An 18510-nucleotide genomic window follows, 5' to 3' on the forward strand; every position below is an offset into this window, starting at 1 on the left:
GGCCTTGGCTAAAGGATTGCTCTGGGATGCAGGTGGACAGAGGTGCTCTGCAATGGAGAGCTAAGTCCTTGCGCAGCTCAGCTGCCAGCTCTCTCTTTCTTGGTCCCAGCCCATGTGGTGGAGCCTGGAATAGACAGCCTCTACTGGTCTCTTAAGAACCCAGCCCCATCCTCTGTCCAAGGGCTATATCTGCTCCTGACGGCTTCTTCCCACCAATGTTCAATCTTAAAAAGCCACCTCTCTGGCTGGGTGTGGTGGCTTATGCCTGTAACCTCAACACTTTGGGAGGCTGAGGTGAGTGGATCACTTGAGGTCAGGAAGTCAAGACCAGCCTGGCCAACGTGGTGAAACCCCCATCTCTACTAAAAATACAAAAATTAGCTAGACATGGTGGTGGGCACCTGTAATCCCAGCTACTTAGAGGGCTGAGGCAGGAGAATTGCTTGAACCTGGAAGGTGGAGGTTGCAGTGAGCCAAGAACACACCACTGCACTCCATCCTGGGCAACAGAGCGAGACTGTCTCAAAAAAAAAAAAAGGCCAGTCGTGGTGGCTTACTCCTGTAATCCCAACACTTTGGGAGGCCAAGGCAGGTGGATCACTTGAGGCCAGGAGTTTGAGACCAGCCTGGCCAACATGGAGAAACCCTGTCTCTATTAAAAATACAAAAATTAGCCAGGTATGGTGGCACGTGCCTGTAATCCCAGGTACTTGGGAGGCTGAGGCAGGAAAATCACTTGAACCCGGGAGACGAAGGCTGCAATGAGCCGAGATCGTGCCACTGCACTCCAACCTGGCAACAGAGTGAGACTCTCTCCAAAAAAAAAAAAAAAAAAAAAAGCCAAATCTCCACCCTGAGCCTTACTCTTTTTGGTCACAAAGTAATCAGGAGTCCTCTGCTCCAGCTTTCTCCGCGGCCTCACCTTCCATTCCCTCCTGTGATAAAGCTTCGGGCTGCCTCCACCATGACTCAGAAAGACCCCTGACTGGTAAGCTCCTTTTAACTGAGTCCAACAGACACTCCTCGGTCTTGACTACCCGCTCCATTATAGTGGGTGGGTAATCCCCTGGTTTCCAAATCTCCTGGTTTTCCTCCTTCCTCTTTGGCTGTTCCCATTCTGGTTGGTGTCCTTCAGGACATCCCCTGGGGCCACCCCACCCACTCCCCACCTGTCTATTCATCAATCTTTAGATTGAACCCTCATCCTGAACTCAGAACTACAGACCCAACTACCCTCATACTCTCTCCCCGGATGCACTGCAGGAACATCATGCTCAACTTGTCCCAAACAGAGCAAGCATTTCATTTCCCCCCAGGGCCCCATCCCAGCAAGCAGTCCCACCCACCATCCAACTGGCAAAGGCAGAAACTTGGGGCCCTCTCTCAGCCATTCCTCACCCAGTGTCACCAGGCCTGTTACTCTTCCACCCACACAGCTCTTTGGTGGTCATCCCCTTCCCTCCATCTCTGCTGCTACTGCCCCAGCCTGGGGCCACCATTTCCCCCACCCCCATCCTCATCAACCTCCCAGTCTTGGCCAGGTGCGGTGGCACATGCCTGTAATCCCAGCACTTTGGGAGACCAAGGTGGGTGGATCACCTGAGGTCAGGAGTTTGAGACCAGCCTGACCAACATGGAGAAACCCCATCTCTACTAAAAATACAAAATTAGCTGGGCATGGTGGTGGGCGCCTGTAATCCCAGCTACTTGGGAGGCTGAAACAGGAGAATTGCTTGAACCCAGGAGGTGGAGGTTGCAGTGAGCCAAAAACGTGCCATTACACTACAGCCTGGGAAATAAGAGTGAAGCTCCATCTGAAAAAAAATTAAAATTAAAAAAAAAAAAAAAACAACCACCTCCCAGTCTTAACTCCCGAAACTCTTCAAAGGCTTCCTACTGGCCTCATTGAAAAACCCACAAGCCTTCCTCAAGCCCTTGCCTGAGACTGTGCCCCGAACACTGCCCTTCTCTCGATAGCCCACCCCTATGCCTACTCACACTCATCTCCTCCAGGAAGCCTACCCCCTGTCCCCTGCCCAGGTTAGGCCCCTTCCTCCATCCTCCACAACTTCTCTTTTTTTTTCTTTCTTTTTTTTTTTTTTTTTTTGAGACAGGGTCTCACTCTGTCACCCAGGCTGGAGTGCAGTAGCTCAGTGACATCTCACTGCAGCCTCAACCTTCCATGCTCCAGGGATCCTCCCACCTCAGCCTCCTAAGTGGCTGGGACTACCCAGGCTGGTCTCAAACTCCTGAGCTCAAGCAATCCTCCTATCTCTGTCTCCCAAATTGTTGGGATTACAGGTGTAAGCCACTACTACTTGTATTTCTCACATCAAAATCCGTGTTATACTTTATTATCATTGCTTAACATTCGGGGTCCCACGCTGAGTGTGAGCTGGGGGCAGGCAAGATTGATTCCTGTTTTACTTCACTGCAGTATCTGCAGCACCCAGGATGAAGTCCAGGACACCAAAGATCAAGGTGCTTCATGAGTGAAACTGTAAGGGCTGGCTGTAAGCCCCGCTTCTGGGATGGGAGAAGGTGAGGCTGATCTCCAAAGCAGGTCCCCCCCACCCCACACTCTATCAAAGTACCTGAGGCAGAATCCCCAATGATGCACCCCCAGTGGTCTGGCTCCTGGGGAAGGCAATCAACTCTGCCCCAGCAGGTCCAGCAGATAGGCCAAGTGGAGTTTCAGGGTCCCGTGGATGGACAGGGGTTCAGCAATAGCCGCAGAAGGAACCCTAAGGCCATCCAGGTTCTCCAAAAGCTGGCTGCACCCCTGGTCTAGGCCAGGCCGCCATTGGGATCGGTCAGGCCCAGCAAGTCCTCTGCCAGGCTGGTGAGCTCGTTCTCCTCGAGTGCCTCCACCAGGCGCTGCAGCGTGGCGCGGCGGCCCTCGGCCTGCACGAAGCGCCGCAGCAGCTGGAAGGCCTGCTCGTACAGTCCCTCGCGCTCGTACTCGTAGGCCAGCGAGTCCAGCGCCGGGTCCCGCAGCGCCCGGCAGCCTCGCTGCAGTGAGCGCCCCACCTTGCGCCATTTGAGACCCACAGAGCGCGCGAACGTCTGTTGGTCCTTCAGGCTCAGCGGCCGATTCACTGCAGAGGGAGTGGGGAAACGGGGTGAGGGCGGGGACCCCCAGCGCCGGTCCCACCCATCCCCACCCGGCAACGACCCCTGCCCCTCCCCAGACTCCAACCTCCTGGTGACCCCGCCTCTCCACCTGCGCCTCACCTACAGGCTGACCCTGGAACAGAAAAGTCTGGGCAGGTGGCGGCGGCGGCGGCGGCTTCACCTCCGACAGAGAGGGCACCGGGGGCTGCAAGGGGGCCGAAGCGACCTCCCCGTCGCCACCCCGGGCCCCCGAGCCGCACTTCAGATTTCGCAGCGCATCCTCCAGCTCAGCCAGTTCTTCATCCCGGAGCCGGTCGGGCTAGGGGAATGGAACGTGCCGTCACGGGGGACTTAACCGCGGATCCCCGCCCTACCCCATCCTGACCCTAGCCCGGCCGCACCTGCTGGGCTAGGATGCAACTCAAACAGCGCTCCTCGTCCGCCAGCAAAGCGTCCAGCCGCTCGGCGCCGGCGCGCAGCTCCAGTTGCAGCGGCACCGAGTGCTGGGCGAGCGCGGCCGCCAGGCTCCTCTGCAGCGCGGCGCGCAGCGCCCCCTCGCGGTAGGCGCGGAGGAAGCGGCCACAGGGCTGCCGCCCGCAGAATCGCAGCTGCACGATCAGCTGCGGGTCGCTGCGGTGGATCTTCAGCATCTGCAGCACGTCCGGGCTCCCGCCGCTCTCTGCGGAGGCGGGCGGTCAGGCGCCGGGCGGTCCCCAAGCTCGGCCGTTCTCCAAACGGCCGGAGGAGGGGCGAAGCCCGTGGTGAAGCCCCGCGTCCCATCCCCTGACCTAGGGTGCAGTTACCCCAGAGTACCCAGCTGGGAAGCAAAATTGGGATACAAACAGCAATAACCCAGAAAGAAGACCAGGATCTGTCACAGGGAGCACCCTAAGACAGAGTGGGTGCCACCTAACCCCCGCTCTCACGCCCCAAATGAGGGTTGGCAAAAGAGAGGGACTTCGAAGCACAGAAAAGGGGGCGTGTGCCCTGGGCAAACAAGCCGTCTGGGTAGGCGGCCAGCAGGGCAGAGGAGGGCGAGAGGTCTCAGGTCTTCGGCCTCCACCAAGCGCGACTCCCACTGCTCGGGAAGAAGAGGGGCTCTCGCCGCTCTGAGGCCACGAACAGATCCCCCAACCCGCTTCAGCCTCCTGTGGCCTCTGCCCTGAGATGGGAAAGGGGGGCCTGGAAGGGTAGGTACTGGGGAGGGGTCTTGAGCAAGGAGTGCTGCAGTAAGAGAGGAAAAGAGGAGAGAGACATCCACAATTAGTAGAAAGGAGTGAGCCGGCTGGTGGAGGGGGGCGGGGATGGAGCAAAGGACGTTAGTGCACAAATTGGTAAATCATACACAGACTCGAGAACACACGCCTATCCTCAAGGTCATGCCACAAGCAAAGAAGAGAGTCTGCACAGCCAGGGGTCCTCCGTCTTGCTCCTCCCACCCCAAATCTTCTTCTTAAAGGTGGCTAAACCCAGGCCCACCCACAAAATGCTCCAGGCCACCCCTTCCTCTCCACATGCCCGCCCATCCACGCACCTGCCAAGGCAGCCTGCAGAGCCCTGTACACTGCCACCTTCTGCTGGGGGTGCGCGTAGGCATCCGACAGGACCACCTTGTCCAGCGAGGACTCCACAAACAGGTATGCGCTGCCCACCCACTCTTCGTGCCCATTTTGCCCAGCTGCCATCTCACCTCCTGGAGATGCAGACAGTCAGGTATCCAGTTCATCCCCCCTCCCTCCACCCTGGAGACAACTACCCAGCCCCACGTGGTTCAGCTGTCCCCACCACAGTAGCCTCAAGTCCCACATGGTTCAGTTGTCCCCACCACTGGTTGGCATACTTGGGACAGGAGTTCACCATCTCACAGGAAGCCCCTTGAGCTCCTGGCTCTGTACAGAGTCCCACCCGCCCCAGGCTTGCAGTGAGGACTGTCCCTCCACTGCCTTCTTGGAGAAAGAGCCCAAGGTCACAGTGGAGGGGGAGCAGAGGCAGATCCTGCAATGGGGCTTCTCTGCTTCCTTCTCAGGCCTGTGTGTCTCTCTTACCAATGCGGACAAGAGACATCTTCATTCTGGATGGTGCCCATGCCCCAAAGCCAACCAGACCCATATCCTGGCCTTGCCTTCTGAGTAGACTTGAGCCCAGCATTTCTGGAGGACCTCAGCCTAAGACTAAACCTCCTGTCTTCACTTCGAAGGGCACCTGTAGTTTGCATCTACCCAGATTCTCTCCCCAAGCCTGACTTACCTTTGGGGACTTCCCTCCTCCCTCTTCTCAATCCATGTGCCTGTGTCCCACTCCCTAGTTCCAGGTCGGGCTTGTGTACCAGACCTGGCCAATCTGCATATTCCATTCACATTTCTGCAGTGATTAGTTCAGGGCGGGGTATAGGACTTAAGTTGGACCCATGAGAATCAACGCTGCGACTCTGGTTGAGCCAATAGGAAAGAGGCACTACTTTCCCTTCCCTTGGGGCTGAACTGGAAGGAAAAGGTAGCTCTCCTTTAGCACTGCTTGGGAAGAGCCTGGCTGGGAATGAAGCTGACACAGAAAGAAAGAGTCAAGAGATGGAGAAGTGCATTCCTAAGCATACTAGGCCCCTGGATCCAGCCGTCCCTGAAGCCATTGCACACTGGACTTTTCAGTTATGTGAGCTAAATAATTCCTTTTTGTTATAAAGCCCTTGGAGTTCGGCTCCAGTCATTTCCAACACAAATTGCTCTATTCCTTCCCTGTCCAGAAAAAGCCAGGGCCCCTTGGTGCTAGTATAGTATCTCCTTCCTCCATCTTCTGACAAAAACCTAGCTCTGGACCAGCGGGGGCAAAATTCCCAGCCAAGGAACCACTGCACTGACCTACAGCTCAATGGTCTCCCAGTTACTACCCCGTGAGACAGCAAGTAGAAAACTGCCTCCTCTTTCTCCCCACCTCACCCTTTTCCTACCCACCCTTTTCCTATAATCATGGGCTCAAGGCCCTACCTCCTGCCCCATCAGTCACACTCCTGTACTCTCATCAGGGTTTATATATGGTGGGCTAAGAGGAGTGTTGAGTGTTAGCTATGGGGCAGGACAGATGGGGTGGCCCAGCTGCCATCTGTTTACATGAGGAACAGGAAGCTGTCCTCCTGCCCTGGCCTCCCAAAGTGCTGCGATTACAGGAGTAAGGCACTACTCTCGACCTTTGTTTTTTCAATTGTCTTGTTTTTGAGACAGGGTCTTGCTCTGTCACCCAGGCTGGAGTGCAGTGGCACTATCGCAGCTCACTGCAGCCTTGACCTTCCCAGCTCAAGCAACCCTCTCACCTCAACCTTTCAAGTAGCTGGGACTTTAGGCACACGCCGCCATGCCTGGCTAGTTTTTGTATTTTTAGTAGAGATGGAGTTTCACCATGTTGCCCAGGCTGGTCTCAAACTCCTGGGCTCAAGCGATCTGCCCACCTCAGCTTCCCAAAGTGCTGGGTTACAGGTGTGAGGCACCACACCCAGCCTTCTAATCTTTTCATAGAAAACATTAATACTTGTGTACTTACGCCAAACCACAGTCTGGATAGTAACAGGAAGTTTGCATTTTGTTTATCTCTGGGCAGGATGAAGGAAGGTAGGTGGGGGTGGGGAAGGATTGTGGGTGATTTTTATTTTCTTTGTATTTAGCAATATTTTCTGCTTTATGTGAAGTAGACATATTTTCTTTGTATTAAAAGAGCAAAATAAATTTGTTTTCTTTAAAAGCAAAACAAGAAAAAACAGGAAACTCTGCAGGTGACAAGTGGGTCCATAATAGGGAGCCAGCCACGGAGGTGAGATAAGGGGGGAGTCCTTCGAAAGTGGCCTGGGGAGTAGGAGAGAGTGGGAACTTCCCCTGGAAACATTCCCTCTTTCATGTCTTTCTGGCCCCTTGACTTGAGAGTGCTTGACTTGGTTATGGTCCCACCCCAAGGGGTGGAAGTGGGGACCGAACAGGACCATTGTCTGCCCATCAGGTCTGTGGGGGTCGAGGGGGAGGTGGGGAGTACTGGGAACCTGGAGACTGGGGATGCTTTCTCACACTCACTAGTACTAGAAGATGGGGAAGGTGAACCAGGCTGGAGGTCGAGTTAACAGGGTAAAGAGGCCAGGGCCCTAGTTTCGCATCCGCCGACTGGCAGCTCTTCTTACGTGTTCTTTCACGGAAGCCCCTCCTTGGGAAGCCCCGCGCCCCACCCACCAGGAGTCGTCCCTTTTTGGGCGGGGCTGAGGCTTCCAGGCTGGGTCCTGAGAAAGTTTGGTGGCCGGAGACTGTGGGGCGCTTAGGTACCGACCTAACAACTTCTGCGCCTGTTTCCAGGGACGAGCCACGCACGGTGCCCCCTGAACACCTAACAGTCCCGGGGGCAGCCCCACCTCTGGCTGGGTGGACAGAGACAGCCTGTGGGCGTGGCCCAGAACTGAAAGCCTGTGACTCCTTGCGACCCGCCGGGCACACCCCCTACTCAGCTACGCAGCTCCCGAGCGCTTGAGGGGAGCTTCCCAGGCTCCCACTAGCCCACCCTCAAGCTGGGGTTTCGCACGTGCGATCGGCTGGGGTGGGCAAGGGGGTCTCCGCTCAAGGAAAGTATTCAGAACCAGCCCCTTCTCCCCCACCCTCTCTCCTGCAGGGCCCTACTGCACCTCGAAAGTGCTGGCAGGGACGAGGAGCCTGCGGGGGCCAAATTCCGTACCGTCCCCCGCCTCCCACGGTGTTCGAACAGCTCAGTAGACCGCCGCCACCAGCTGGCTGGAGCAGCCGCCGGTGACATCTGCGCCGCGCCCACGCTTCGGAGCCAAGATCCACCTCCTCTCCCGCCCGCACCGGGGAGCCCACCCACCCACCTGCTGCACTAACCTGGCCGCCTCGGCGGGGCCTGGGTTCCCACGCCCGCCAGGCTCCGCTCTACTCCGCCGCTTCCGGGTGTGCGCGGAGGCGCTGGGGCGGTGCCCTAGCCCGAGCCGCCCCGTCCGCCCGCGCGTCCCGCCCCGCGGGCTCCCGGTGGCTGCTTCCCGTCCGCTGTCCTCTGCTGCCAGTCCCCTGCCCCGGGCAAAGCCCATCTGGTCCGCCGAGCAGGTAAGACACCAGCGCCCAAGGTTAGACGGCAGGAAGACCCGACTTTGGGGGTTTGCGATTCTTACGAGGCGGGGGGCTCGTAAGAGCTACAGCTGCCAGACTTCGGTAAATCAAGGGGGCGCCCCCTGGAGACCAGAATTTTCTGGTACCCCTGGGGATCCGGCTTCAAGATCGCTGCTACCAGTGGGCACTCAAAACGGGGTGCCCATGGGTCCCAGGTACAAGCCCGGCCGAACGTATCTGAAGCCCCAGGAAACACGTGGCACAAATTCCGGGAGAAACTGTTAGCCCGGAAGATATGGGAACATTAACTGGCGAGTAGTGTGAAGCCTTGTGTACACAAACCTTTAAGAACCTTAAAACAAGATTGGCGGCCGGGCGCGGTGGCTCACGCCTGTAATCCCAGCACTTTGGAAGGCCGAGGCAGGTGGATCACCTGAGGTCAGGAGTTTGAGACCAGCCTGGCCAATATGGTGAAACCCCGTCTCTACTAAAAATACAAAAATTAGCCCGGCGAGGTGGCGCGCGCCTGGAGTCCCAGCTACTCGGGAGGCTGAGGCAGAAGAATCGCTTGAACCCGCGAGGCGGAGTTTGCAGTGAGCCGAGATCTCGCCACTGCACTCCAGCCTGGGCGACACAGCTAGATTCCGTCTCAAAACAAAACAAAACAAAAACAAACAGGATTGGCAACTTCAAAGAGGACGCACACTTTCCAGTAACCCATCCCCCTCTAAAGGCTGCGCTCCAGGGTGGGTCTGCGGAGTTCCAGCCGAACCCAAATTGCTCAGCGGGAGCCAGGGCTGCTCAGGGGTCGGAACTTAAATCTTGAGCCCCTCAGGCCCCAGAACCGTCAGGTCCCAGAGACCCAAGTTTTTTTTCATCCAGTGGGGCTGTCTTAGGAAGCACCCGGGACATCTCCCCGGCGAGGCGGAGGCGGGGAAGGAGCCTCCCCTCCAGGGGTGGATCCAGCTTTGCCCCGCCCACGCCTCGCTTCCTGATTGGCTCATGGTCCCTGACAAAGAAAAGCCTACATTAACGCTCCCGCCTTATTAACCCTGTAGTCACTTTCTACTAACCGGCGGGGTTAAGATGGGGTTTCTCAGGCCGGGCGCGGTGGCTCATGCCCGTAATCCCAGCACTTTGGGAGGCCCAGGCGGGCCGATCGCTTGAGCCTAGGAGTTCGAGGTCAGTCTGGGCAACAAAGCGAGACCTCGTCTCTGCAACAAAATTACAAAAATTAGCCAGGCGTGGTGGCGTGCCCCTGTAGTCCCAGCTACTCGGGAGGCTGAGGTGGGAGGATTGCTTGAGCCCGGGAGACTGAGGGTGCAGTGAGTTGTGATTGCGCCACTGCACTCCAGCCTGGGTAAAGAGCGAGACCCTGTCTCAAAAAAAAAGAAAAAAAAAAAAAAAAGTGGGAGGGGAGTTCTCAACGTGGAACCTGTGGAGTCACAGGGGCTTGTTGAAATGCAGATTCCTGGGCCTTACCCTTTCCGGAGAGCCTGATTTAGTAGGTGAGGCGGTGAAATCTGCTTTGTGAACAAGTTTCGGGGTTATCTGATGCCCCACGCTGTCTGAGAGGCCCTCAGTTCCTCAGGCCACAAGCATTTGTACACCTAAGCTCGGTCTTCCTGCAACACTTTGCGCCTTCCCGACCTCAGAGACGTCCGTCTCTCTCCAGGCCGGAGCTATTGGGAGTGGCGGATCCTCCCACCCCAGCCGGATCTGGGCCATGGCCGAGCCTGGAGAGGGACTGCCAGAGGAGGTGCTGGCACTCATCTTCCGCCACCTGTCCCTGAGAGACCGTGCTGCCGCCGCCAGGGTCTGCAGGGCCTGGGCCGCCGCTGCTACCTGCAGCGCCGTGTGGCACGACACAAAAATCAGGTGAGCCTGCTCCTCCACACTCCTCTCCCCACCGCCCACTCACCTTCTCCGTGGAGTCGTGGGCTAGGTAGATATTCAGGTTGACTCCCCCATATTAAAAAATAATTGCTGGCCGGGCGTGGTGGCTCATGCCTGTAATCCCAGCACTTTGGCAGGCCGAGGCGGGTGGATCACCTGAGGTCAGGAGTTTGAGACCAGCCTGGCCACCATGCTGAAACCCCGTCTCTACTAAAATACAAAAACTAGCCGGGCATGGTGGTGGGCGCCTATAATTCTAGCTACTCGGGAGGCTGAGGCACAAGAATCGCTTGAACCCGGGAGGCAAAGGTTGCAGTGAGCCGAGATGGCACCACTGCACTCCAGCTTGGCGACAGAGTAACAGTTTATCTCAAAATAATAATAATAATTGCTGACGTATTGACTGCCTAGTATATACCAACCATTGTTTTTAAGTGCCTTACATATATTAACTAATTTAATCCTTATGAAAACCTTGTGTGGTAGATAGGTATTATCATTACCTCCATTGCCCAGATAGGAAACTGAGGCAAAGAGACTTAATCACTTCCCACGGGTCACTCAGCTAGGGAATGGCAGAGGCAGAATTCGAACCTAGCAGTCCGGAGGCCATGCCAAGACTCCTTAGAGACAGCTGAGAAAGCCCAGTTCCTAAAATATCATTGGCTCTCCATGTCCAGGTTTCATCCTGTGGCAGACGCCACTGAAATCTTCTAAAAGGATAGGATGCGAGTTCCCTCCTTTGGGGCAACAGTCGTGGTCTGAACAGAGACGTGGGGAGGGAGGCAGGAAATGGGATGGCAGCTGGAACCCCAGCTAAGGGGTGGGTAGAGGCTTCTCCGCTGGTCGCAGGGACTCAGCTGAGGCCTTTTCTGCACGGCTCTAACCCAAGTTGCGAATGTGAGCTGGAAGGCATGCTGCCACCTTATCTGTCCGCCTGCCTCGACCACATTCACAACCTACGGCTGGAATTTGAGCCATCGAGGAAGCCGAGCCGCCGGGCGGCCATCGAGCTGCTGATGGTTCTGGCGGGCCGTGCCCCGGGGCTGCGAGGCCTGCGCCTGGAGTGCCGCGGAGAAAAACCGCTCTTCGACGCGGGCCGCGACGTCCTGGAGGCTGTGCACGCTGTATGCGGGGCGGCCAGCCAGCTACGCCACCTCGACCTGCGGCGCTTGTCCTTCACACTGGACGACGCGCTGGTGCTGCAGGCGGCGCGCAGCTGTCCCGAGCTCCACAGCCTTTTTCTGGACAACAGTACCCTAGTGGGCAGCGTGGGTCCCGGCTCAGTGCTCGAGCTACTGGAGGCCTGCCCGCGCCTGCGCGCTCTCGGCCTGCACCTAGCCAGTTTGTCGCACGCCATCCTCGAAGCACTGGCGGCGCCAGACCGAGCGCCTTTCGCGCTCTTGGCTCTGCGGTGCGCGTGCCCCGAAGATGCACGCGCGTCCCCGCTGCCCAACGAAGCCTGGGTCGCGTTGCGCCGCCGCCACCCTGGGCTGGCAGTGGAGCTGGAGCTGGAGCCCGCGCTGCCCGCTGAGAGCGTGACGCGCGTCCTGCAGCCAGCCGTCCCCGTGGCTGCGCTGCGCCTCAACCTCTCAGGCGACACCGTAGGCCCAGTGCGCTTCGCAGCACACCACTACGCCGCAACCCTGTGCGCGCTCGAGGTGCGCGCAGCCGCTTCGGCCGAGCTGAACGCCGCGCTGGAGGAGCTGGCGGCGCGCTGCGCGGCCCTGCGCGAGGTGCATTGTTTCTGCGTGGTGAGCCACTCGGTGCTGGACGCCTTCCGCGCGCACTGCCCGCGCCTGCGCACCTATACCCTCAAGCTCACGCGCGAGCCGCATCCCTGGAGGCCTACGCTCGTGGCGTGATTGGGCGACTTCTCTCCCCCGTCCCCGTGGACGTAAGCGCTCTGAGAGGGAACGGGGGGGGTGTCCAGGCGCGCCCCGAGTGCTAGTGCCTTCTTTTGGGATTGTTGCCCCCCGGGTCTTTACCGAGTTGGGAACTGTGATGGCATCGGGACCAGTCCTGGGCGCCCTGAGACCACTCGCTGCTCTCACCCTCTGCAGACGCCCCACCCGCTCGGTCCTGGACACACTGCCCCCCTCTCTTGCCTCCACCCCTCTGCGGACTCTGCAGCTCCGCGGCCCCGGCGCAGGGAGAGGGAGGGCACGGGCGCGGGCCGGGCCTCAAGGGTGAGTGTGAAATAAACAAATCCTGCAGTGTTTCTGCGTCCTATTAAAGGCGGGGTCGGATCTGAAAGGGAAGGACAGGGAACGCGCGGGGTACCGGAGGAGCCATCCCGGCAGAGGTTGGGTTTCCTCAAGAGCCTCTGGACGACACAGCTGCGGGGGGTCAGGGTCGGGGCACTCACACCCTTGGAATGACTACGTCCCGGGGTTCGGCGGGAGGGGGCGTGCTTCCCTGCCCCCCCTTCCTATCTGCTTGCCCTGCCTGGGGCTTCACTGTGCCTCTGGCCATTACCTTCTAGGACTTGCCCAGCCCACACCAGGTCGCGCACCGGCGATTTCTCCTGTAGAACAAAGAAGGAAATAGAGGGACCGAGAGGGGTGGGACTCGAACCCAAGTCTCCCACTCATCTCACCCCACCCCACCCCACTCCACCCCACCCCACCCCTCCACTCCACTCCACTCCACACATCCCATCCAGCCAGCCTTTTCTGCCTGCTGGTGCCTCGGCCGCTGTCCGAGCCCCGCCCCGCGGGCTTGCACGTGGCCCCCGCCTGACCCGGCGCCCCGGGGCGGAGTAGGGCGGAGCGGGCGGCAAACGCAGCACTTTCCGCGGCTTTGACGAGCCCGCAGCGGCCGGGCCCGAGCGCAGAGCCGGGCCGAGACTGCACCATGCAGGAAGCGCCAGCTGCGCTGCCCACGGAGCCAGGCCCCAGCCCCGTGCCTGCCTTCCTCGGCAAGCTATGGGCGCTGGTGGGGGACCCAGGCACAGACCACCTGATCCGCTGGAGCCCGGTGAGGGCCGGGGCCCCTCGATTCCCCCTGTGGTCCCGGGGTCCCTCCACGTCAGTGAACACCCATGCCCGCCCAACCCCCTCCTGAGACTGGGCCGTGGATCCCCGGATTTGGCCATTCAGAGAAGTTCACCTTGGAGGGGGTGTGCGAGAGGGGGGTTTCCTCTGCGGCCGAAGAAGGGTTAGGAGCCTGCCTTCTGAAGACCTAGAGTCCGAGGGACCTTCGAGGCCATTTAGTTCCCACCCTACCCCATCCGACAGATGGGAAAACAGAGGCCGGGAGATGGGAAGGGCTGGTCTAGCTCAGGGTCACATTGCGGGGCTGGGAACCCCGTCAGCCTCTCCTTTCTGAGAACTGAGTATGGAGTCAGGGTCTGGCTGGGGGTAGGGACTCACTGTGGTCGCTCCAGGCTAGGCCTCGGAGCCCGTTCTGGCCTGGCCTCGACCCATATCCCCGTAAGCGGCAGGCCTGGACCCAAGAGTGAGCATGAGTGTGTGCGCGCGCTGGAGCGCAGGACTGGCCGTGAGCGGGCACCGCTCACCCTCCTGGTCTCCGCCCGCACGGTGGGCGGGCGGCGTTCTTGGTAGAGCGGGACCAGTTTCCTCGTAAGCGACCAGAGCCGTTTCGCCAAGGAAGTGCTGCCCCAGTATTTCAAGCATAGCAACATGGCGAGCTTCGTGCGCCAACTCAACATGTGTGAGTCCCTACGGCCGGGCGGGGAGCGGGGATGGGGGACTCGGTGCCGGGGATGGGGCGACCCACGCCCCCACGCCCCACTCCCCAGACGGTTTTCGGAAGGTGGTGAGCATCGAGCAGGGCGGCCTGCTTAGGCCGGAGCGCGACCACGTCGAGTTCCAGCACCCGAGCTTCGTGCGCGGCCGCGAGCAGCTACTGGAGCGCGTGCGGCGCAAGGTGGGGGCGGCCTGCGGGAATGAGCAAAGAGGAGGAGGGGTGCTGGGACTGCCTGCCTTGCTCCTGCGACCCAGTCCCGACGGTGCCTCCCGCCTGCAGGTGCCCGCGCTGCGCGGCGACGACGGCCGCTGGCGCCCGGAGGACCTGGGTCGACTACTGGGCGAGGTGCAGGCTTTGCGGGGAGTGCAGGAGAGCACCGAGGCGCGGCTGCGGGAGCTCAGGCAGTGCGGGGGCGGGCGGGGAAAGAGGGGACAGGGGTGGGGGGTTCGGGATGAGACCATAACTGGCCGGCCAGCAGTTCTGGGCAGCCCCTTCCTCTCTCCTGCCTTGGCGCCTCCATCTAGACTTATGGGCGATCTCTGGGATGGCCAGTCAGCGGGGTGGTCTCCTGGGTCCCCAGCCTCGCCATTCTGTGGGGGGTGGTGACTGGGCGAACTCTCAGATGCCTCAGCACCCTCCCACCCCTTCCTCAGGCAGAACGAGATCTTGTGGCGGGAGGTGGTGACACTTCGGCAGAGCCACGGTCAGCAGCACCGGGTCATTGGCAAGGTGTTCCTCTCCCCAAGCCTCGCTTCTCCCTCCCACTCCTCGACACCCCATTCCACCGCCCAGTCCCCCGGCGCCCCTGTTAAGCCTTCCTCCCTCACCTGGAAGTGCGGGGGTGGGGGGGCTGTGTCCAAAGTATGAATTAAACCTTTGCTTTCTCTTCAGCTGATCCAGTGTCTCTTTGGGCCACTTCAGGCGGGGCCGAGCAATGCAGGAGGCAAGAGAAAGCTGTGAGTGAGAAAGCCAAGAAGGCCCACACCCACTTCCAAGACCCCCCAGAAGTCCCCTTGCAAGGACCCCTTCTCCTCTGGAAACTCCTTCACCGGGAATCCTCATTCCTCCCCCTGCGCTACAGGCTTCCTCACCCCATCTAGGATCCACTTCCCCCCAACTCTGCCACCTGGTATCCCCACTCCCAGATCCTCCCATTCCAGGACCTTATTCCCAAATTCCTACCCCAGCAGCCCCTTCCCCCTCCGGCAAGGCTTCCCAACAGCTGAGACCCTGGGGCTCAAACCAGGTTCCCTCCCTCCCCTCTCTACCCACAAAGGGCCCCCATCTCTAGGGGGAGCCCCTTCCACCTCCAGCATGTGACTGACACCCTAGCAACAGGCCTCAGCTCTGCTGACTTGGCTGCTGGGGCCTGAGGGAGGGAGGGAAGTGCAGGCCGAGGTGCATGGGGGCTGACCCTGCCCCACCCCTGCCTGTGCCCTGATCGACCACACAGGTCCCTGATGCTGGATGAGGGGAGCTCATGCCCAACACCTGCCAAGTTCAACACCTGCCCTCTACCTGGTGCCCTTCTGCAGGACCCCTACTTCATCCAGTCGGTAGGTTTGTCTTCTTCCCCCTTCCCAAGGGCATGGCTGGGCTTATGGAGAGCCTGTTCCTTCTCCCCATCCCCTAAAAGGAAGAGAAGATGGAAGCCAGCCTTCCCCCCAACCAGACCCAGGCCCTCCAGCATGGACTGAGCCTCCTCCCTCAAACCTTCTCCCTTAGACCTGGCCCAGGTGGGTGTTGGTGGGGTTCTGGCTCTCCCTGTGCCTACAGGCCAAGGGCTGGGCCTAGCCTTCTACTTACAGCCTCTCCCAGAGACAAATTTGGGCCTTAGCCCTCACAGGGCCAGGGGCCCCATCATCTCTGACATCCCAGAAGACTCTCCATCCCCTGAGGGGACCAGGCTTTCTCCCTCCAGTGATGGCAGGAGGTAAGGGGGACAGGGCTGCCCCTGAGGGGCCTGTGGGGGAGGGCCTGGCAGCCCAGATGGCTGTAGGGGTAGAGGGAGAAGTCAGTGCCAGGGTCTGGTTGAAGCTTTTCTCTGGTGCAGGGAGAAGGGCCTGGCACTGCTCAAAGAAGAGCCGGCCAGTCCAGGGGGGGATGGCGAGGCCGGGCTGGCCCTGGCCCCAAACGAGTGTGACTTCTGCGTGACAGCCCCCCCGCCACTGCCTGTGGCTGTGGTGCAGGCCATCCTGGAAGGGAAAGGGAGCTTCAGCCCCGAGGGGCCCAGGAATGCCCAACAGCCTGAACCAGGGGATCCCAGGGAGATACCTGACAGGTGAGCAGAGCCCCAGCTGGCCCATGAGCCCTGTGATAGAACAGCCCTTACCAGCCCACAAAGCTTCCTAGCCATTTGACTCCATGATACTCACCTGATTTCTTGGCCCCAGCATCAGAGTTCTGTGGAAAGCAGAGCCTCCCAGTCAGGGCACTCAGCATCTGCGGAAGGGCTTAGGAACCTACATATGAAATGAGTTCCCTGGGGTGACTGCAAAGTACACAATAGTTTAAGAAGCATTGGTGGCTATGAGGTGGCTCATGCATGTAATCCCAGCACTTTGGGAGGCTGAGGCGGGCAGATCACTTGAGGTCAGGAGTTCAACACCAGCCTGGCCAACATGGTGAAACCCCCCGCCTCTGCTAAAAATACAAAAATTAGCTGGGTGTGGTGGCGTTTGCCTGTAGTCCCAGCTACTCAGGAGGCTGAGGCAGGACAGTCGCTTGAACTTGGGAGGTGGAGGCTGCAGTTAGCCAAGACAGTGCCATAGTGACATAGTGGGTGACATAGTGAAACTGTCTCCAAAAAAAAGAAAAGAAAGAAAGAAGGAAAGAGAGAGAGAGAGAGAAAGAAAAAAGAAAGGAAGAAAGAAAGAAATAAAGAAAGAAGAGAAAGAAGCATGGATATTGATACTTGCATAGGGAGGGGAAGGGTCCCAAAGCCCCAGCTCCACCACCCAAACTTCAGGTCCCAGGTAGGAAGCAGAGGCACTTTCTCTGTGCCATTTATGGCAGGAGTGGGGAGGTTGGGGGTGGAGAGAGGATGGGGATCCTCTCCTATCATTTTCTAAAGATTGGGGGATTAAAATCTTGATGCATCTGGGTTCCTTGGGAACTTAATGCGGGGTGGACACTGCAGGCCAAAAGCAGTTCTGTCTGCACAGGGGGCCTCTGGGCCTGGAAAGCGGGGACAGGAGCCCAGAGAGTCTGCTGCCTCCGATGCTGCTTCAGCCCCCTCAAGAAAGTGTGGAACCTGCAGGGCCTCTAGATGTGAGTACCCCTTCTGCTGAAACAGGGGCATGAGACCTGGTGGGGTCTAGCTCTCTGTGGAGCCTGGGGAGGGCACCACTGACCCAGAGCTCTCCTCAGGTGCTGGGCCCCAGTCTCCAAGGGCGAGAATGGACCCTGATGGACTTGGACATGGAGCTGTCCTTGGTAAGAAGTGGGTCGGGGAGGGCAGAGGCCAGGGGTGGCTGAGTCAAGCCCTCTGGTCCATAGCTGTTCTCTGTGAGCCAAAGCCGTGTCTCTAGAAGAATTGTCACAGTGATTTCCCAGCTGTCCCCCTCAGCTGCTAGGTCCCCTCCCCAGCTGCTCCCTGCGGTTCTCACGCAGATGCAGCCCTTGGTTCCAGAGCGGGGTGAGCCTGAGCTGGCGGTCAAGGGGTTAAATTCTCCAAGCCCAGGTAATGGTTGTGATGACTCCTACCTGGGAGGACGCCGTGATTGGGCTGAGCTACCTTGATTGAGTGAGGGGGCAATCTGCAATTTGCAGGGAAATCCTGAGTTCAGGCTGCACTGCAGAGCGTTCCTTGAGCCACCCATGCCCTCACCATTGGGCGAGAGTGGGGAGGTTAAGAATGGATGTTTTATCCTAACTGAGCAGAAGGCAGGCGGGCAGGGCTCTCCTTCCCTGAAGAAAGGAGGGGGAACATTTCCCCTGGTGAGCGCAGTCCCACTTCTCCTAGGGAAGGACCCCACGCTCGGGGCCCCACTCCTGCTGGATGTCCAGGCGGCCTTGGGAGGCCCAGCCCTGGGCCTGCCTGGGGCTTTAACCATTTATAGCACTCCTGAGAGCCGGACTGCCTCCTACTTGGGCCCGGAAGCCAGTCCCTCCCCCTAAGACCCCGCGCCTCTGAAGGGGCTTGGAACCAGTCCGCCGCTGCACATCCTTCTTGGCTTCCTGGCGCCCCCTATCGGGGGTGAGCGAAGCCCCCACTACTAAATGGCCTCTCTCCACTACCCCGACTATCCCTGCACATAAACTCCGTTTTTTTTTTTTCTGTTTCTGGTCTCTTTTCTCTATCGACCAGGGAGCACAGGAGTTATGGGTGGGGGGTGATTTTGCATTTGTAGAAGCGTCCAGATACTAGGTTTTTAATAGAGGAACCCCAGGAGGGTGGAGGTGCTTGGGGATCCGGTGCCTAGCTCCCTTGCTTAGGCCCGGGTCCAGGGCTGGCGCGGGGCCGCTGCAATCTCTGGGAAGCGGGGGCTTCTGGGTCGCGCTCAGCTCTGCAATGCATGCGTTCTGTGATCCTGGTGAGTTGGTATCCTTCTCTGAACTTCCTCTGTGACAGGCAGAGAAGAGGGGTCGATGACAAGATAGATGGAAAGCACCTGGAAATTGGCAGGCCCTGAGTGGGCGCTGGACGTGTGGGGCCGCGGGCCGAACTGCCCCCTCCTGGCCTCATCTCCTGGTGCGCCCCGGG

General features: G+C 59.1%; 3 protein-coding genes across 7 annotated transcripts, besides 15 other annotated features; 2 read left to right on the plus strand and 1 right to left on the minus strand.

Annotated features, from left to right (window-relative positions):
- Positions 1 to 2323: 2323 nt before the first annotated feature.
- TRADD (TNFRSF1A associated via death domain) lies at positions 2324 to 8048 on the minus strand. 2 transcript variants are annotated; one of them, NM_003789.4, is made up of 5 exons: positions 7977 to 8048; positions 4649 to 4807; positions 3516 to 3793; positions 3235 to 3433; positions 2324 to 3098 (listed from the first exon to the last, which is right to left on the minus strand). In NM_003789.4, the coding sequence occupies exons 2-5, from the start codon at positions 4797 to 4799 to the stop codon at positions 2788 to 2790; spliced, it is 939 nt and encodes a 312-aa protein (NP_003780.1). In that variant the 5' UTR covers positions 4800 to 4807; positions 7977 to 8048; the 3' UTR covers positions 2324 to 2787. The 2 variants fall into 2 exon arrangements, with proteins under 2 accessions (NP_003780.1, NP_001310481.1); NM_001323552.2 differs by having other exon boundaries at positions 7964 to 8048.
- Positions 3589 to 3778: a silencer, noted in NCBI's record as "silent region_7582". NCBI's record gives its function as "represses an Ori minimal core promoter by ATAC-STARR-seq in GM12878 lymphoblastoid cells {active_cell/tissue: GM12878}" and the evidence as "EXISTENCE:reporter gene assay evidence [ECO:0000049][PMID:35858748]".
- Positions 3755 to 4656: an enhancer, noted in NCBI's record as "H3K4me1 hESC enhancer chr16:67189519-67190420 (GRCh37/hg19 assembly coordinates)". NCBI's record gives its function as "activates a minimal SCP1, AML or CMV promoter by ChIP-STARR-seq in naive H9 embryonic stem cells {active_cell/tissue: H9 hESC(naive)}" and the evidence as "EXISTENCE:reporter gene assay evidence [ECO:0000049][PMID:30033119]".
- Positions 3819 to 3888: a silencer, noted in NCBI's record as "silent region_7583". NCBI's record gives its function as "represses an Ori minimal core promoter by ATAC-STARR-seq in GM12878 lymphoblastoid cells {active_cell/tissue: GM12878}" and the evidence as "EXISTENCE:reporter gene assay evidence [ECO:0000049][PMID:35858748]".
- Positions 7217 to 7476: an enhancer, noted in NCBI's record as "active region_10952". NCBI's record gives its function as "activates an Ori minimal core promoter by ATAC-STARR-seq in GM12878 lymphoblastoid cells {active_cell/tissue: GM12878}" and the evidence as "EXISTENCE:reporter gene assay evidence [ECO:0000049][PMID:35858748]".
- Positions 8077 to 8216: a silencer, noted in NCBI's record as "silent region_7584". NCBI's record gives its function as "represses an Ori minimal core promoter by ATAC-STARR-seq in GM12878 lymphoblastoid cells {active_cell/tissue: GM12878}" and the evidence as "EXISTENCE:reporter gene assay evidence [ECO:0000049][PMID:35858748]".
- Positions 8096 to 12313, plus strand: FBXL8 (F-box and leucine rich repeat protein 8). Its single transcript, NM_018378.3, has 3 exons — positions 8096 to 8195; positions 9874 to 10076; positions 10987 to 12313. Exons 2-3 carry the CDS (start codon positions 9925 to 9927, stop codon positions 11957 to 11959), a joined length of 1125 nt encoding a protein of 374 aa, NP_060848.2. The 5' UTR covers positions 8096 to 8195; positions 9874 to 9924; the 3' UTR covers positions 11960 to 12313.
- Positions 9237 to 9326: a silencer, noted in NCBI's record as "silent region_7585". NCBI's record gives its function as "represses an Ori minimal core promoter by ATAC-STARR-seq in GM12878 lymphoblastoid cells {active_cell/tissue: GM12878}" and the evidence as "EXISTENCE:reporter gene assay evidence [ECO:0000049][PMID:35858748]".
- Positions 10024 to 10536: an enhancer, noted in NCBI's record as "H3K4me1 hESC enhancer chr16:67195788-67196300 (GRCh37/hg19 assembly coordinates)". NCBI's record gives its function as "activates a minimal SCP1, AML or CMV promoter by ChIP-STARR-seq in primed H9 embryonic stem cells {active_cell/tissue: H9 hESC(primed)}" and the evidence as "EXISTENCE:reporter gene assay evidence [ECO:0000049][PMID:30033119]".
- Positions 10610 to 11558: an enhancer, noted in NCBI's record as "H3K27ac-H3K4me1 hESC enhancer chr16:67196374-67197322 (GRCh37/hg19 assembly coordinates)". NCBI's record gives its function as "activates a minimal SCP1, AML or CMV promoter by ChIP-STARR-seq in naive H9 embryonic stem cells {active_cell/tissue: H9 hESC(naive)}" and the evidence as "EXISTENCE:reporter gene assay evidence [ECO:0000049][PMID:30033119]".
- Positions 11154 to 11253: an enhancer, noted in NCBI's record as "active region_10953". NCBI's record gives its function as "activates an Ori minimal core promoter by ATAC-STARR-seq in GM12878 lymphoblastoid cells {active_cell/tissue: GM12878}" and the evidence as "EXISTENCE:reporter gene assay evidence [ECO:0000049][PMID:35858748]".
- Positions 11559 to 12507: an enhancer, noted in NCBI's record as "H3K27ac-H3K4me1 hESC enhancer chr16:67197323-67198271 (GRCh37/hg19 assembly coordinates)". NCBI's record gives its function as "activates a minimal SCP1, AML or CMV promoter by ChIP-STARR-seq in naive H9 embryonic stem cells {active_cell/tissue: H9 hESC(naive)}" and the evidence as "EXISTENCE:reporter gene assay evidence [ECO:0000049][PMID:30033119]".
- Positions 11604 to 11723: a silencer, noted in NCBI's record as "silent region_7586". NCBI's record gives its function as "represses an Ori minimal core promoter by ATAC-STARR-seq in GM12878 lymphoblastoid cells {active_cell/tissue: GM12878}" and the evidence as "EXISTENCE:reporter gene assay evidence [ECO:0000049][PMID:35858748]".
- HSF4 (heat shock transcription factor 4) lies at positions 11900 to 18080 on the plus strand. Of its 4 annotated transcripts, none has more exons than NM_001538.4 (15): positions 11900 to 11991; positions 12158 to 12283; positions 12580 to 13073; positions 13661 to 13769; positions 13858 to 13985; positions 14085 to 14209; positions 14459 to 14534; positions 14697 to 14761; positions 15259 to 15361; positions 15600 to 15738; positions 15963 to 16086; positions 16970 to 17075; positions 17175 to 17240; positions 17418 to 17487; positions 17770 to 18080. In NM_001538.4, the coding sequence occupies exons 3-15, from the start codon at positions 12951 to 12953 to the stop codon at positions 17922 to 17924; spliced, it is 1389 nt and encodes a 462-aa protein (NP_001529.2). In that variant the 5' UTR covers positions 11900 to 11991; positions 12158 to 12283; positions 12580 to 12950; the 3' UTR covers positions 17925 to 18080. The 4 variants fall into 4 exon arrangements, with proteins under 4 accessions (NP_001529.2, NP_001035757.1, NP_001361603.1 ...); NM_001040667.3 differs by having other exon boundaries at positions 15614 to 15738; positions 15859 to 16086; NM_001374674.1 differs by lacking the exons at positions 11900 to 11991; positions 12158 to 12283 and having other exon boundaries at positions 12884 to 13073.
- Positions 12705 to 12999: a silencer, noted in NCBI's record as "tiled region #11796; HepG2 Repressive DNase unmatched - State 4:PromP". NCBI's record gives its function as "represses a minimal TATA promoter and a strong SV40 promoter by Sharpr-MPRA in HepG2 cells {active_cell/tissue: HepG2}" and the evidence as "EXISTENCE:reporter gene assay evidence [ECO:0000049][PMID:27701403]".
- Positions 12749 to 12988: a silencer, noted in NCBI's record as "silent region_7587". NCBI's record gives its function as "represses an Ori minimal core promoter by ATAC-STARR-seq in GM12878 lymphoblastoid cells {active_cell/tissue: GM12878}" and the evidence as "EXISTENCE:reporter gene assay evidence [ECO:0000049][PMID:35858748]".
- Positions 17734 to 17783: an enhancer, noted in NCBI's record as "active region_10954". NCBI's record gives its function as "activates an Ori minimal core promoter by ATAC-STARR-seq in GM12878 lymphoblastoid cells {active_cell/tissue: GM12878}" and the evidence as "EXISTENCE:reporter gene assay evidence [ECO:0000049][PMID:35858748]".
- Positions 18274 to 18423: an enhancer, noted in NCBI's record as "active region_10955". NCBI's record gives its function as "activates an Ori minimal core promoter by ATAC-STARR-seq in GM12878 lymphoblastoid cells {active_cell/tissue: GM12878}" and the evidence as "EXISTENCE:reporter gene assay evidence [ECO:0000049][PMID:35858748]".

Source organism: Homo sapiens, chromosome 16, assembly GCF_000001405.40.
Source record: "Homo sapiens chromosome 16, GRCh38.p14 Primary Assembly".
NCBI lineage: Eukaryota > Metazoa > Chordata > Mammalia > Primates > Hominidae > Homo > Homo sapiens.

Excerpts from the sequence above, each read along its gene's own strand:
- TRADD (NM_003789.4), bottom strand. The coding sequence starts at position 4,799 with ATGGCAGCTGGGCAAAATGGGCACGAAGAGTGGGTGGGCAGCGCATAC. Across the intron at positions 3,434-3,515 it reads GTTGCATCCTAGCCCAGCAG|CCCGACCGGCTCCGGGATGA; the intron begins GTGCGGCCGGGC and ends CCATTCCCCTAG. Across the intron at positions 3,099-3,234 it reads GTTCCAGGGTCAGCCTGTAG|TGAATCGGCCGCTGAGCCTG; the intron begins GTGAGGCGCAGG and ends CTCCCTCTGCAG.
- FBXL8 (NM_018378.3), top strand. The coding sequence starts at position 9,925 with ATGGCCGAGCCTGGAGAGGGACTGCCAGAGGAGGTGCTGGCACTCATC. Across the intron at positions 10,077-10,986 it reads TGGCACGACACAAAAATCAG|TTGCGAATGTGAGCTGGAAG; the intron begins GTGAGCCTGCTC and ends CTCTAACCCAAG.
- HSF4 (NM_001040667.3), top strand. The coding sequence starts at position 12,951 with ATGCAGGAAGCGCCAGCTGCGCTGCCCACGGAGCCAGGCCCCAGCCCC. Across the intron at positions 15,739-15,858 it reads CCCTCCAGTGATGGCAGGAG|GGAGAAGGGCCTGGCACTGC; the intron begins GTAAGGGGGACA and ends TCTCTGGTGCAG. Across the intron at positions 17,488-17,769 it reads GTTAAATTCTCCAAGCCCAG|GGAAGGACCCCACGCTCGGG; the intron begins GTAATGGTTGTG and ends CACTTCTCCTAG.